This window comes from Homo sapiens, chromosome 4 (assembly GCF_000001405.40).
Source record: "Homo sapiens chromosome 4, GRCh38.p14 Primary Assembly".
Taxonomy (NCBI): domain Eukaryota; kingdom Metazoa; phylum Chordata; class Mammalia; order Primates; family Hominidae; genus Homo; species Homo sapiens.
The window spans coordinates 140,427,649-140,444,484 of NC_000004.12; the positions used below are offsets into that span (position 1 = coordinate 140,427,649).

Consider the following 16,836-nt stretch of genomic DNA (forward strand, 5'->3'; position numbering starts at 1 on the left):
AACCGCGCGTGCGCGTGCGGTGGCGGGCGGGAGGCGGTGGCGGCCCGAGGTGTGTGCTACGCGCTCCTGCTCCGAGGGGCTCAACCGCCTCCAGGGGGAGCCGCACATGGAGCCTGTGCCGCCGCCGGCCGGTTGTGGCCTGGACCCCGCTCCCGGGTTAGCCCAGGAGGAATTCCCCCTGCAAGTCCGAAGACTTTTCCTCCTCTGAGCTCCCGCCCTCTCTGCAGACCGTGCTACCTCCTGTTGCGCAATGATTGGGTCCTGAATTTTATGTAAATCATATTTATGAACAACGTCCAGTAATAAGTGCAGCAAGATTAGGGCTCTAGGTTTTCTCCAGAGTTCTAGATGTTAACAGATCTGCAGTCATGGTGATTAATAAGGAGCTTTCCTGTCTGGTGTGTGTATATGACAAATACAGATGCGTTAAGTGTTAATAAATACATTGTATATAAAACAATATGTTCTTTTTCTCTCGAACAACACTATTAATAAGAGCTGCTAACATTTATTGTGTTCATTGTGCTCTAAGGGGCTTACATTCATTGTTTAACCTTCGTGGCAACCCAGGTGATGAAACTGATGGCAACTTGCTCGAAGTTACACAACATGTAAACAGTGGAAACGGGATGTAAATCAGGCCTGTCTCTCTCAGAGCCTGTAGTTTCAAACACATTGAAATAAATCTTAGCATAAACGTAGTTTATGCTATGATTATGCAATCACAAGCTGCTTTGCCTTTTATATATTGGATCAATATTAATTTTACTACTTAATATTTTATAGTAAATCTTGACTTTGAATTTGGTATAACAATTTAATTTTATTGGAAGATTAATTAACAACATTTAATTGACTTGTGAGTCTAAGACCCTTGTTGAAGAGTTTCAATCTTAAGGGTTTGGTGGCATTCCGTGCACAACGTATCATTATTGGCTAGGGGTCAAGATCACTGAGTTTTTTCACATTGCTTCACTAATTAAGACCAGCATTTCTAAACTTTTGACTTTGTCATCTCTGGGAGAGTGTTTGGATAGTGTTAAAATTTACTGGTTAAAAAGACATTTTGTTTGAGATACTTTGTAACAATATTATACCCTTTATTTCTTTCTTCCGTCCTTCTGACTTCTATTATTCAACATACTTCTGTGGCCCATAACAAATACACTTGAACTGCTAGAGAGGGATTTTTTAAAGGATCCATTCAAAGTTTGCAGTGAGGAAGCTGAAAACTAAAAATGTAAGAATAGTGAATTTTTGCAAGATTTAGTAGTATCTTCTTGGTCACATAGTACTCAAAACCTTGAGAACATTTTTTTACTCTTTGGCTGCTACATTCACTGCCTCCATAAATTAAACTCTAACTCCATAAAATCATCTAAAAGAGGTCCTCACCCCCTCCAGTCCCTGTGCCATTTCTCTAGTTTAGATTCTCACTACTTTAGAAACTGTTGTTCAGAGTTACCTAACTAGTTGCCCCCCTTCAGAGCCTCCCACCTACACTTCGTAGTTTAATCCTCAGCTCATTCAATAGTTTCCAATGACCCTTCATTACCCACAGCATGAAATCTAATCTCTAACCTTGAAATTTAAGGCCTTAACATATCTCCAAAATTATTTGCCACTTATTGAAAGGATGATTGAATATAATATTTATAATTTGTTTAATAGGCAACTTTTCATCAGAATAATACAATGTGATAATGTCAGAGGAGAAAGAATAATCTGCAAATAAGACAAGGGGTATGGCTTTTGAGAGTGATGTAGTGTTTAATAATACAAGCGGAGGAGTCCCAGAATGTAATGCTGAATGGTAGAGTCGTGAAGTGTTCTGACACATCAAAGTTGAAGAGAGATTTGGGAAGAGACCAAGGCAATGTAATCAAGATTGGAGGGACTAGAGTAATCAGAAATCTAGAAAAACATAAAAAGCAGGAAAGGTGACCTGGCATGGTGGCTCATGCATGTAATCCCAGCTCTTTGAGAGGCTGAGGCAGGTAGATCACTTGAGCCGAGCTGCCTGAGACCAGCCTGGGAAACATGATGAAACCCCATCTCTACAAAAAAATACAAAAAATTTAACTGGGCATGGTGGTGCATGCCTGTAGTCCTAGCTACCTGGGAAGCTGAGGTGGGAGGAAGCTGAGGTGGGATGAGCCCAGGAGGCAGAGGTTGCAGTGAGCCCAGATAGTGCCACTGCACTCCAGCTTGGATGGCAGAGTGAGACATTGTGTCAAAAAAAAAAAAAAAAAAAAAAAAAAAAAAAAGCAGAAAGGTTCATGCTCCTTGATGGAACAGAGTGATGTCCTGTTGGAAGCCTGTTTTGTAATCAAAATCAGAGCTGTGTTTTATTAATGTTCTACTATGTGCAAGTTGCTATATGCAATTGACCCACAGGTATCATCCTTATTTTACTTATGAGGAAATAGACCCAGATCAGTTACATAACTTATTCACACAGATCTTAAGATGCAGAGTGAGGATTCAAAGCCTGTGCCCTTTCCACAACACCTTGCCACTTGAAAAATGCAGAATATAGGAAATGCCTCGATTATCAGGATTAAAGAGCTATGCAGAATGAAGTTTTAACTCAAATACAATGAGTGGACTCAGAACCTAGATAATTCAAATAATACTTTAAAAATGTTTGTATATTTTCATATGTTTAGGAATGTGCTTTTTAATGGTGCAGAAAATAGAGAAAAGGAAACAAAGTATTCCACAAGTATTTCCAGTGGGTTGACTTTTATTTTCAAGATGTATAATTATGTCTATGGCAGAAAATGATCTTTTCTTTCTTATATTTATACTTATTTTCTGAGGTTTTTTTCCTTATTACTTTAACAAAAATATCAAACAATAGTAAATAATAGTAATGACAATAGTCATCATTGTTTTTCCCAGAATTCGTCTGGTTAAACTATATAGTTGGCAGAATGAGCCCATGCTGAGTTTTTTTCTTGTGTCTCAAGATAACCCCCCTCAGAAACACTACCCGACTTTAGGATTTATAGAATGATATACAGCTATAGTTATCAAAGAGTTATCAAAGAGTATTAGTATCAAGGCAAACAAATCAATGGAACAGAATAGATTCTATATAGACTTACATGTGTATGTATTATGGCCTGGATATGGTTGGTTTGTCCCAACCAAAACTCATGTTGAAATTTGGTCCCCAGTGTGGCAGTGCTGGAAAGTGGGGCCTAATGGGAGGTATTTGGGTCATGAAGGTCCTGTCCTCGTAGGTGGCTTGATGCCATTGCAGTAGTGAGTGAGTTCTTGCTCTGACGAGACTGGATTCATTCCCATGAGAATGGGTTGTTATAAAGCTGGGTGCCCCTCAGGTTTTCCCTCTTTGCATGCGTCTGCTTCCCCTTTGACCTTCTCTGCCATCTTTTGGCCTAGCACAAAAGCCTCACCACAAGCCAGAGCCATGTCCTTGAACTTCCCAGCTAGCCAGACTGTGAGTTAAATAAATCTCTTTTCTTTATAAATTACCCATTCCCAGGTGTTCTGTTATAGCAACACAAAACAGAATAAGACAGTGTGGGGAACTGGTTTTCAACATAGGTACACATGCAGTTGGTAGAGAAAGCCTAGTCTTTTCAACAAATTGTGGTGGTACAATTGAATATTCACATGTAATAAGTACATTTTTCAATCCATACCACACAGCATATATAAAAAAAGAGACTGGCTGCATTTTGCCCCGTCTTAGATATTTGTGGAACTTTGAACTTGAGGGAGATGATTTAGGATATATGGTGTAAAAAATTTCTAAGCAGCAAAGCACTCAAGAGGTGACTTGGGTGCTATTAGAGGCACTCCGTTTTAAAAGGGAAACAGAAAATAAAAGGTTTGAAAATTTGCAGCCTGACAATGTGATAGAAATGAAAATCTCCACTGCAGAAATTTTCATAAGTAACAAGAAGCCAAATGTTAATCCACACGACAATGGGAAAATGTCTCCACGGCATGTCAGAGGTCTTCATGTCAGCCACTCTCATCACAGGTCCAGAGACCTAGGAGGAAAAGACAGTTTTGTGGGCTGGGCCCAGGGCTCCTCTGCTCTGTGCAGCCTAGGGACTTGGTACTCTGTGTTCCAGCTGCTCCAGCCATGGCTAAAAGGGGTCAACGTACAGCTCAGGCTGCTGCTTCAGAGGGTGGAAGCCCCAAGCCTTGGCAGCTTCCAGGTGGTGAGCCTGTGGGTACCCAGAAGTTGAGAATTAAGGTTTAGGAACCTCTACCTAGATTTCATAGGATGTATGGAAACGCCTGGATGCCCAGGTGGAAGTTTGCTGCAGGGGCGGGGGTCTCATGGAGAAGCTCTGCTAGGGCAGTGCTGAAGGGAAATGTGGGGTCAGAGCCCCCCACACAGAGTCCTTGTGGGGCACCACCTAGTGGAACTGTCAGAAGAGGGCCACCATCCTCCAGACCCCAGAATGGTAGATCCACTGACAGCTTGCGCTGTGCACCAGGAAAAGCTGCAGACACTCAACACCAGCCTGTGAAAGCAACTGGGAGAGAGGCTATACTTTGCAAAGCCACAGGGGTGCAGCTGCCCAAGACCGTGGGAACCTACCTCTTGCATCAGCGTGACCTGGATGTGAGACATGGAGTCAAAGGAGAGCTTTAAGATTTGACTGCCCTGCTGGATTTCAGACTTGCATGGGGCTTGTAGCCCCTTTGTTTTGGCCAATTTCTCCCATTTGTAGTGGCTGTATTTACCCAATGCCTGTACTCCCATTGTATCTAGGAAGTAACTAACTTGCTTTTGATTTTACAGGCTCATAGGTGGAAGGGACTTGCCTTGTCTCAGATGAGACTTTGGACTGCAGACTTTTGAGTTAATGTTGAAATGAGTTAAGACTTTGAGGGACTATTGGAAAGGGATGATTGGTTTTGAAATGTGAGGACATCAGATTTTGGAGGGGACAGGGCAGAATGATATGGTTTGGCTGTGTCCCCACCTAAATCTCATCTTGAATTGTAACTCCCACAGTTCCCAAGTCTCATGGGAGGAACCTGGTGGGAGATAATTGAATCATGGGGGTGGGTCTTTCCCATGCTGTTCTTGTGATAGTGAATAACTCTCATGAGATCTGATGGTTTAAAAAAAACAGGAATTTTCCTGCACAAGCTCTCTTCTCTTGTCTGCCACCATGTGAGGTGTGACTTTAACCTTCTGCCATGATTTTGAGATCTCTCCAGCGATGTGGAACTGTAAGTCCATTAAACCTCTTTCTATTGTAAATTGCCCAGTCTTAGGTATGTCTTTATCAGCAGCATGAAAATGGACTAATAAATATATAAATCAGTGGGGCCATCTGGCTCTACATTTGGGGTGGAAAGATTTAGAGTTGGATTTTCTACCATTACACACACACACACACACACACACACACACTATTTTAATGGAAATAGAGACCTAAACTTTAAAAATTATAGAAGTTTTATAATATAATATATGGGACTATATGCTTGATGTGGGTAGGTAGGTTGTTTTAAACAATACGAAAAGTGAAAAAGTCATAAAAGAAATTATTAATATATTTGGCTATCTCAAAGTTGAAAATTTTGTATGTCAAAAGACAATACAAAATAAGTTTAAGACAAAAGACTTTCTGAGAAAAGTAATTTTAGCCTATGACAAACTATTAATATTTAGTTTAGGAGTTTAATTAGGTTCCTGTATGTGTTTTAAGAACCTCATATTTAAATGAAGAAGAAGAAGACAAATAGCTCATTAAAAAAATCAGGATTGGGAGGCCGAGGCGGGCAGATCACGAGATCAGGAGATCGAGACCATCTTGGCTAACATGGTGAAACTCCATCTCTACTAAAAATAGAAAAAAAAATTAGCTGGGCATGGTGGCGGGCGCCTGTAGTCCCAGCTACTCGGGAGGCTGAGGCAGGAGAATGGCGTGAACCTGGGATGCGGAGCTTGCGGTGAGCCGAGATTGTGCCACTGCACTCTAGCCTGGGCGACACAGCGAGACTCCATCTCAAATAAAAAATCAGGAAAGATATAAATATGTGAGAAAATTTAAACCCTACTTGTAATTTGAGAAAGGCAAACTAAGACTATAACAAAATACTGCTTTCACTAGACTGGCAACAATTTCAAAGCTCACTAATAGCAAAGGGCAAGACTTGGGAAAACTGCTGCTTTCAAACACTACTCTTGGGGATATATGTTGATATGGCTATTTCTGGTGGCAATTTGGCAGTATCTGTTAAAATAAAAAATATTCATACCTTTTGAGTCAGCAGTACCACTACTGATTATTTAAACTAGGAAAAAGACTCTATGCTCAAGTAGGCACCCAGAAGAATGTACATTGAAACACTGTTGTAACACTGAAAAAAATATTTAAATAGTAATGGATCAATTTCTGCATCAGAGGAGGAAATGCTAAATAAATTATGCTCTATTCATATTTTAGAATATTGTGTTGATGTTAAAAAGAAAGAATTAGATCCATGTTGGTGACACAGAAAAAATTAAGTAACAAATATTGAGTGAAAAATCAACTGGCATTTTAACCAAAGGCTTTTAAAAATCCAAAGCAATACCATATATTCTAATAAGTACATATGTATGTAAATGCATAGGAAAATATACAGTAGTATTCACGCCAAATTGAAATCAGAAATAATTTCTGGGAAAAGGACTGGGATTTTGGTTGGTTGTCAGGTAGAACTTTTGCCTGGTTGGTAATAGTTTTTTTTAATAACAAAGATGTATTTATGCATTAATTGTACAATTAAATAAATAACATTAAAAATTATCATAGTATAATACTGTTCTTTGTGTGAAATGAATTTCCTGTTTTTATTTTTCAGTAGTTTTTAATAGTTAGAAATGAATGTTGAATTCCAGTACATGCCTTTTCAACCCATGTTGAGATTATTAATACATAAATTTCCTGAATATGAAACAATCTTGCATTTGGGGAATAAAGACAACTTCAATGGTCTGAATGTTTATGTTGCTTCAAAATTCATATGTTGAAATCCTAACCCCCACAGTCTGGTATTAGGAGGCCGGGACTATAGGGGGTGATAAAGTCATAAGGGTAAGGCCCCAGGAACTCTCTGCCCCTGTCATCATGTGAAGACACAGTGAGAAGGTGCCATCTTTGAGGAGGCAATCCCTCACCAGACACCAAATCTACCAGCACCTTGATCTTGAACATCCCAGCCTCCAGAACTGTGAGAAATAAATTTCTGTAGTTTAGAAGCCACCTAGTCTACGCCATTTTGTTATAGCAGCCAAAAAGAATAAGACACTAACCTTTTCATAACTGATTATTCCATTATTTTGTTTCTCAGTTCTATTTATGAAGTTTCTTTAGCCTTTTTACATATGTATGCATAATTGAGATAGTCTATAATTTTTCTTGCCTGAATCTGATAACAGAATTAAGTTTATTTTATACAATGAATTAGGAAGTTTTAAGAATTCTCTCATGCCCTGGAATCATTTATATAGTATGAAATTTTATATTGTTTTTTGAGATTTTGAAAAGTTTATTATAACTTTATGGGCATTAATGTTTTGGTGGATTGGTTCATTGAATTTTCCTGAGTTATTATTCATTTACTCAGATTTTCCACTTTCTGCTATATAATTTTAAATATTTTTTCCAGAAAACCATTCATTCAATGAGATATTCAAAGTTACTGGACGCACGTTTGTACTAAGGGAAGGCTGTTTTCTTGAGGAAGGAGCTTACAGCATCAATAGTCATGTATATTATGATTCTTTCCCCAAATTTTCCCCAGAGCAACCAGGGTGACTATGCACTAGCTGAAGGGAAATATCCAGACCTTCTAGAGTTTTTAAAGTACTGTTTCTGAACTGACACTAATTCCTAAAGACTCCAAGCACCGTCATGTACTTATGTTCAGATTGTGAATTTATGGAGGTCACATGCTAGATGGAGTCTTGGCCTAAGTCCCTATGCCAAAGGAGTCCAGTGAAGTCACAGCCCCCTACCTGTAGTATTTCTCTAGTTCCAGAATATGTAATAGGGCTAAATATATGCAGTAACTAACAGAATCCCCCGTGTTTGTTCCCTGCTCCATGGAGTGAGGGCTATGACAAGATATCACCTCGTGAGAAACAAGTTGCTGTACCCTGGGCCACCCCCCAAAAAGAAAGAGACACAACACCTGGCAGGCCTACTCAGATTTGGGATATAACATACACCACATTTGGACAGATTGCTAGGACACATTTCCTGGGTATCTGTAAAACTTCCATATTTGAGTGGGGCCTGTAACTTGCCACAGGTTCAGACTACAGAAAGAGTGTCCCTGTACTTGGGCCTTATGACTCAGGAGATTCAGTGGCATTAGAAGTGTCAATGGCTGATAAAGACATGGTGAGGAATTTCTGTTAAGTTCTAATAAGAGGATCACAGAACATACCACTAGGATTTTGCAGTAAGAGATGCTCTCTTCTGCTGACAACAATTCTCCACTTGAAAAGCAACTCCTGGTGTACTACTGGATCTTCATAAACACTGAATGCCTGCCCATAAGACATGAAGTGACCTGAATTGAGGTAATCTGATTCACCAAGTCACAAAATTGGACAGATGTGATCATGTGTAGGAAGCATAACAAAACTGCATATGCTGATGGCTCAGATTCACACGGTTCCTTATTGTTTCTCTCTCACTCTGCATCTATGGCCTGATGAAGAGGCCTCTATGACCAGTTAACAATGAAGGAAAAAGTACCACCTGGTTTCTGGATGGATCTGCCCTGCTATATTTGTAGCAGTGAGAAGTGGACAGTTGCTACATTACAGCCCCACTCAGGGAAGTCCTAGAAAAGCAGGGGTGAGCTGAAATCATTCCAGTGGGCAGAATTTCTGGTTGTCCACTCATGTGGAAAGAAAGATAGCCTTAATATAGATCTTCATAATATGTGGACTAGCAGATAGGCTAGCTGACCCGGGATGTAGAAAGAACAAGAATGACATGCTGATCGCGAGGCAGGTTGTAAGAGAGGTTTGTGGATGGGTTTCTTGGAGTGGGCACAGAGTGTGAAGATATGTATGTTCCACATAAAGCCCCCCTACAGGTATCCACTGCAGAGGAGGTTCTCAAAATCCAGATGGATAAGAATATCCACGTCAGCCCCCTTTTCTGGCCAAAAATGCAAGCTCAAAGGCCCCATATACAAAGTGGTCATGGAGGCAGGTGTTGAGGCCATGCATGGATTTAATAAAATGGGCTTTAATTCATGAGGGTGATCTAGCTACCAGTGTAACTGAATTCTCAATCTGTCAACAGCAGAGGCCAGTGTGGAAGTCTTGCTGGAATTATCTTTTATGGGGATCAGGCAGATGTCTAGCAGTATTTTGAGGATCTGGAATGCTTTCATGATGGAAAAAGCAGCTATTTGTCCTCAGAGGAGAAATACACATTCTGGTTGTGGATTTGTCTATTCCCTTTCTGCCAGAGCTACCATTTATGAACTTACAGAATATCTCATCCATTGCCATGGTAGCCCACACAATACGGCTTCCAACAAGAAATACATATTATGAGAAGGAAGTGCAATAATGGTCTTACCCCCATGGATTCACTAGTCTGACTATGTACCACATCACCCAAAAGAAGTTGCCTTGTTAGAGTGATGGAATGGCTTTTGGAAGACTCAGTTGTAGCTCCTCGTGAAAATAACATCTGGGAGATTGGGGTGCTGATCTACTGGATTTACTATGTCTTAATCTGGTGACCAATGTAGGAAACAAGGGTGAGGGGGAAGTGGCCACTCTCATTACAACAAATCCTCTCCTGAACACAATTTTTGTTCTTATCCTCAAGACTTTCAGTTCAATGGGTTTGAATGTCCCAGTGCCCCAGGGAGGAATGCTTTGAGGAGGGAACAATCATAGTTCCATTAAATTAGAATGTGTGGCTGTTTCTTAACAGTCTGTACTGCTTAACCAGTAGGCAGGAAAGGTTAGTATACAGTGTGATTGATCTTGATTACCAAGGAGAAAATAGGTTTCTGTTACAAAATGGGGGCAATAGAGAACTGTATCTAAAACCTAGCACTTCTTAGTAAGTCCTTACTCAACTGTATTGATCAATGGAAGATACATCCACCAAGGACCCAAATTCTACAGGAAGAAAAGTTGAGTCACACCAATTTTCATACAACCCCTTCCATTCAACTATCAGGAGAGGGTAAGAGGACCATAAAAGAATTATCAAAGAAGGAAGTTTGAAAATCAACCCAGGACTCATCACAAACCTCAGAATGGGTCTCGTGATCTGTTTCCTTTGGCTTCCTTTTTTTCCTTTGCTACTTATGTGGAAGCACAGGTGGTAGCTAAGATTTTAGGTTTCAGGTAAGAGTATAACTGACTTGGCATCACCTCATAATGATATGTTACTGGGGATTTTGTGTGAATACATTTTTCACCAAGGCAAGATATATGAACAAGAATATATGCTAACAAAGGGGGTGAAATATGCTAAATATTTTCTGTTTGCCCCACTAGATGTAGTCTCTATCCTCTTCCACTTTGCTCTGTGACCCATGCAGGTGGCCTTTATGGATGGCATTAATGGTTTCTGTGGGGTCAGCCAATGAAAGGCATTGACAAGAAACTGGAGGAAGGAAAGATGAAGCTTTCCACTAGGCTTCCTCTCTAGTGGTAAGTACAACAATGCCATCACATACGGTTCTTCTCATTGAAGACCAGTTACAAGGCTTTTTAAAATACCACTAGATCTAATGTAATTGGCACACAGAGGTAAAAGCAAGCATCAAGAAAAAGCTTTTCCCTAAGAAACTTTCATGAGGACATTTTTGCCTTTTACACTGAGACCCTGCTTTACTTTCTGCTTCCCTCCGCTCCTCACCTTCCTTGTTTGCGGCTATCATTAAATCAGCCAAGTCCTACTCTTGCTTCTAGTCTTAGTGTTTTAGCTCAGAAAGTGAGCTAAACAGGTTGTTAACCTGACCCATTGATGTGAAAATATGTAAAACTCCAAGTTTCTGATATGTGTTTAATTCTTATTCTCAATTTGGAATGTTGTTTCAGGGGGTACCTAGTTATCTATTTTAATGAATATATTAATAAGAATTCAGAGTGGAAGGCTCATGTGCTTTTATTCACTTCTTACTAGAAGTCTTAACAAACATTTATTGAGCATCTTCTGTGTCCTAGGCAGTGTGCAAAAATTTTGACTGACAAACACGTGGTTCCTGCTTTCAAATAGCTAATAATGTAGTTAGGGAAATAGACATATAACCAAATATCTATAATATATGAGAAATTATATAATAGTAGCATAGACAAAATGCTATGGGAGCATAAAGTATGTTGTTACTCATTCTTCCTAAATGAAAGCTTCATCAAAGAAGTGACATTAGAACTGTGTGACAAAGGCAGAGGAAATGGATATTCTGGCTATCATGGTCACAGCATGAGATATCCGGAGAATGGAAACTAGTCCATTTTAGTTAGATGTAGAGTGCATGAAAGTAAATGTCAGAAAATGATTCAGGAATAGTACATTGGGGCCAGTTTATTAAGGAGCTTGAATGTCATGGCAGATAATTAAACTTTATTCTTCAGATAGAACCATCAGATTATTTTAAACAGCAGAGTGACAGGATTAACCCTAAATTTCGGGAAAATATTTAGTTGCAATGTGACATATTGAGTGACATGCAATTTGATGACTTTTGACATATATACACCCAAGAAACACCACAAAAATAATGAACATATTAATCACCCCCAAATTTTCCTTGCCCTCTATCCCTAAGCAATCACAGATTTGTTTGCTGTCATTATTGATTAGATTGCCATGTGTAGAATTATACATAGATGAAACTATATAGCATGTACTCTTTTTTTCTCTGGCTTCTTTCAGTCAGCATAATGATTCTGAGATCCATACATGTGTTTGTGTGCATCGATAGTTTGCTCCTTTTTATTGTTCAGTAGTATTCCACCATACAGATATGAAACTATTTATACATTCACCTCTTAATAGACATTTGGATTGTTTTTAGTTTTTGGCTGTTATAAATAAAGATGCTGATATGGTTGAAATGTTTGTCCCCTCCATATCTCATGTTGAAATGTGTTTCCAGTGTTGGAGGTGGGGCCTAGTGGGAGGTGACTGGATCATGGTGGCAGATCCCTGATGAATGGTTTAGCACTATCTCCTTTGTGATAAGTGAGTTCTCAGTTCATGTGAGTTATGGTTGTTTAAGAGTCTGGAACCTCCCCATTCTCACTCTGTTGCTCTTGCTCTCACCATGTGACATGCTGGCTCCCCTTCACCTTCTGCCATGATTGTGAACTTTCTGAGGCCCTCATCAGGAGCTGAGCAGATGTTGGTGCCATGTTTATACAGCCTGCAGAACCATGAGCCAATTAAACCTCTTTTCTTTATAAATTACCCAGTCTTAGATATTCCCTTATAGTAATGCAAAAAAGGCCTAATACAGAGTTATTCAAGTCTCTTGAATAACTAGGAGTGGAATGGCTGGGATGTCTTGTAGGTACATGGAATTGTGTCATTTTTTATTCCCACAAGCAGTGTATGAGAGTGTTTATTTCCACACGTTAAGAACTAATTCATTGCAATTTTCTTTTTTTTAATAGGACATAAGTTGAATTTTTTTCAAAGGCTTTTTAAGCATCTGTGGAGGTAACCGTGTGATTTTTCTTCTTAGTCCTATTAGTATTGTGCACTCTAATAGTAGGTTTCCTAACAGAATGCTAACAGGTTCTTGCATTCTTTGTATAAATATCAAGTCATGGTTGTGGTGTTTTTTTTTTTGAATGTTGCTTGGGAATCTATTTCTAAATTGTATTTCAGATCTTCGCATCAATTGTCATAAATGATATTGCTCTATACTTTTCTTTTTTTTGCTGCCATTTCCAGGATTAGGTGCTGATGTTATATTTATATCATTAAAATAATTTAAAAATTTTCTTTATTTGCCATGCTTTGAAACAATTTAAAAATATTGGGACTATTTGGTCTCTAAAAGTTGGGTTGAATTTCCCTGTGCAGATGACTATCTGGGTCTGTTGTCTCTTTGTGATCATTTGTTTTTTCTTGATAACTTTCTCTATTTCTTCTATGAAAATTGGTTAGTTTAAGCTTTCTGTCTCTACTGGCATTAATTTTGGTAAACTGTTTTCTAAGAAAGTATACATTTTATCTGGGTTTATAGAAAGAAGACTAATATCAGCACAACAAAAATCTGTCAGCTTATATAAATTTTCTCATATTTCATTACCAGAGTTACCATTAAAATGAACACGGTGTCTAAAAATGTAAGCCAAGGCTGTTTTTAAAAAAAGGAAACACAAGGAGATGTGTTCCCACGGGAATGCCTGCCCAGATTTATCTTGGTAAATTTGTTCACAATTGTCACAAACCTACTACAGGGTGAAAGGTCTATGCAAGAGTACACAATTAACCCTGAGACATTTTTACACACCTATGTTAGTAGAGGGTGTCTCTTTCTCCTCTACCCAAGAGTGGAGCCACATTGACTATTGCTATTAATTACTAATTATTAGTAGTAATATTTCTACATTGCTATTTACTTCATATAGTCAATAATAAATAATGCAGGTGTTCGTGGCTTTCTTATCTCAATACTTGAGAGATAAATTTTGGCAATAGAGATAATTTTACTTATGTCTCTAATGTTTGCAGAGCTTCTATTTGCTTCAAAAGTAGATTTATGAAAAAAGATTTCAGGAGAATCTGGTTTCTACAAACTTATCTATTATACATCATCATTTGTCTTCATGTAGGTTTGAAGAAGAGTGATTTTAATAAAGCAAAATCAGCATAAATGCTATAAAACAAATGCCCAAACCAACCAATGAAGCACTATTTGCTTTGCTCTACTCCAGATTAAGTGTCTGGGGTTCTCCAAATCTCCCCTTCCTCATGTATCTCAGACCAAAGGCCATGGATGGTAAATGGATCCTCTAAGCATCCACATTTGCAAGCAGCAGGGGTGAGGACGGAAGTTAGGGGCATCTCTTTTGGCTGCATTAGAAATATTTTCTAGAAATACTTTGTGCTGGCCACCCACTCTTAATCAAGAATCATTTCTTTAATGACAATGGTAATTGGGTTGGACTTTTAAGGCTGTCTTTAACTCTCTTCCCCCTTTTTTCTTCTAGCATCTTTCACTCTCGCTGTATCTCAGTCAGGGTTCAAATGCCTCTTTCTGAGCACCGCAGCAGCATTCCCTTGGAATCATCTCAGCTTTCTCTTGACATTCAGCAGAATGTTGGATAGGCTCTTTTAGTATTTATCCTAGCTTATGGTCTTAATCATTTAGGTATTTTGTTCTAGTCTTCAATGGTAGGATAAGAAGTCCAAGTAAGCACCTTTTCAAGGAATGTTACTATCTTTTCAAGAAATACTGTTCCTAGACTTAGTTGTAATTCTTCATATTATCCGGGACTATGCTTTGGCAGATTTAATTTCCAAAGTTCAAAATTTAAGTCAAATTTAAAATCTTTTTAACATACATACAATACCTTATTTTCTTCTCAAAGGTGAGAATGAAATGGACACACAGAAATAGTTCGTCTTTCATATTATCTTTATAAATTGGTATTTGATACAGTTCATACTGAGGCGAATGTGTGAGATCTTGGCACTCAAGAATAAGGCAACAATGGGAAATGAAGAATTTCACAATATTTGATTAAAGGATAACAAATAAATATCACTTATTATTGCTCAAAATAAGTAATACCTTACAGAATAACATCAAGAAGAAAAATAGATTTTAATGGGCCCCTGTAGAAACTGATGGATCAAGCATATAGAAATTAGTAAGGAGTGAAAAGTTTTCAACAACCAAATTAGAAAGCCTGATATAAGAGAATTTTGCACCCAATAGATAGGAATACTTTTAAGAGATATTTTTAAAGCACAAAACCAACACTTTTAAAAACAAATGAATATAACATATTTAAAAGGGAGTATACAGAAACTATACATTCTTTCCAAAGTCATATGGAACACAAGGATTCACAACAATTCTCAAAATTTTATCACACAGGTAAAGTTCTATAACCACTATGCAAGTAATTTAGAAATTAACAATAAAAGATGGAGAAAACCAATATATTTGGGAAAAAAACTCCCAAATAATCTGTGTGTTAAGAAGGCAATGATGAGAGAAACTATGAAATCTTTAGAACTAAATGACTATAAGAATACATATATATCAAGATGTTTGATAATCGGTTCAAATGGCACATAGGGATAAGTTTATAGTTTTAAATGCATCTATTAATAGACAAGAAGACATTGTGGCACTGTCAGATCCAGGCTTGTTTAAATTTGTGCTTTCTATTTCTTTAGGTGTCTTAACAAAATGGATAACGGCATATACCAATTCACCCCAAACTTCTCCCTGACAATAGCAAGCTTTCGAACTTTTAACTGTTTATTGAGATTATGTGATGGTCTCACTATCGAAGTCAATAAAGTGCAGTTCTTAATTTAAAAAAAACTTCCTTGCCTTTAGTATTTTTAAATTAAATTGTAATAGGGTAAAAGCAATATAAATGTTCTACCTTGTCTTGACATAAGAAGTCATTTAGTACTTTCAAGTCTACTAGTTTATGCATTGTTTACTTATCTGCTAGATAATTATGTATTTTCATTACTACAATTTCTGAAACATGCCATTAGATATCAAGGTTATCTGAGGTTCCAGGTATTACAGAGTTTCTTCTTATTTATCTTCATATTTTCTGAAATGAAAACAAAAAATGTAACATCTAGAAATAATATATTAATTCATAAAGATGAAATTATTTTCATAGCAATTTCTTAATCATATTATTTCCTTATTGTATCCTCTTTGATACCACCCACACTTTTTATATAGAGAAGGTAACTTTATATTGAGAGAAGATAAGATTCTCAAGATGTATTAGACAATGCCAATTTTAATACTCTTACGTTGTTAAAATGATTGAAAGCAGATTTCCATCTGTGGGATTCCGGGGAAATCTTTATAGTCAGATTATCATTACAGCCAACAAAACATTGTAGGTAATATATAAATAGTTTAAAACATTTATTTTATTTGATTTTTATAACAAAACTATAGTAAAGGTTTAGGGTAATTTAAAGTGAAAACACAATAATCCTTTAATAATAATATATGAGAGAAAGCCAGAGATTAAATTTAAAATGAGGACTGAAGAAATTCTGCTTTTAATATAAGATTATATGGATACTACATATCATATGAAATGAGTTTTGAATTTCTTGTTAGTCAAAGGGGAAAAAACCCCACACAAAACCAAATAAATCATGACAGTTTTTTGAGAAATATCTTTTCCCAGCATCAAATTCTAAAAGAGAATTGTTGCATGTATTTTCACATAAAAGAGAATCATAAAACTTTAAATAACAGTTTTGAAGAAAATGCAAAAATGTTATACTGTACTAATATATCATCCTTTAATAAAAGTCAAGGGCATGACCTTAAGTAATAATTCAGTTAAAGTATTTTTTTTAAAAAAGCTTTCATTTTAGGCTCAGGGGTACATGTGTAGGTTTGTTATATAGGTAAATTTGTGTCACGGGGGTTTGGTGTACAGCTTATTTTGCTACCCAGGTACTAAGCATAGTACCCGATAGTTATTTTTCCTGATCCTTTCCTTCCTCCTACCATCCTCCCTCAAGTAAGCCCCAGTATCTGTCATTCACCTCTATGTGTCCATGCGTTCTCATCATTTAGCTGCTACTTATAGGTGAGAACATGCAGTGTTTGGATTTCTGT

The 16,836-nt window shown here is 37.6% G+C and overlaps 1 protein-coding gene across 12 annotated transcripts in view; it reads right to left on the bottom strand.

The window, feature by feature from the left end:
• Window positions 1–14,613: 14,613 nt before the first annotated feature.
• MGAT4D (MGAT4 family member D) overlaps window positions 14,614–16,836 on the bottom strand; it is a 56,032-nt gene continuing 53,809 nt past the window's right edge. For all 12 annotated transcript variants that reach the window (XM_011531665.4, XM_011531658.4, XM_011531656.4 and 9 more), the window contains one exon: window positions 14,614–15,796. In XM_011531665.4, coding sequence (XP_011529967.1) covers window positions 15,788–15,796 — 9 coding nt within the window. In that variant the 3' untranslated portion in view covers window positions 14,614–15,787. The remainder of the gene's footprint in view (window positions 15,797–16,836) is intronic.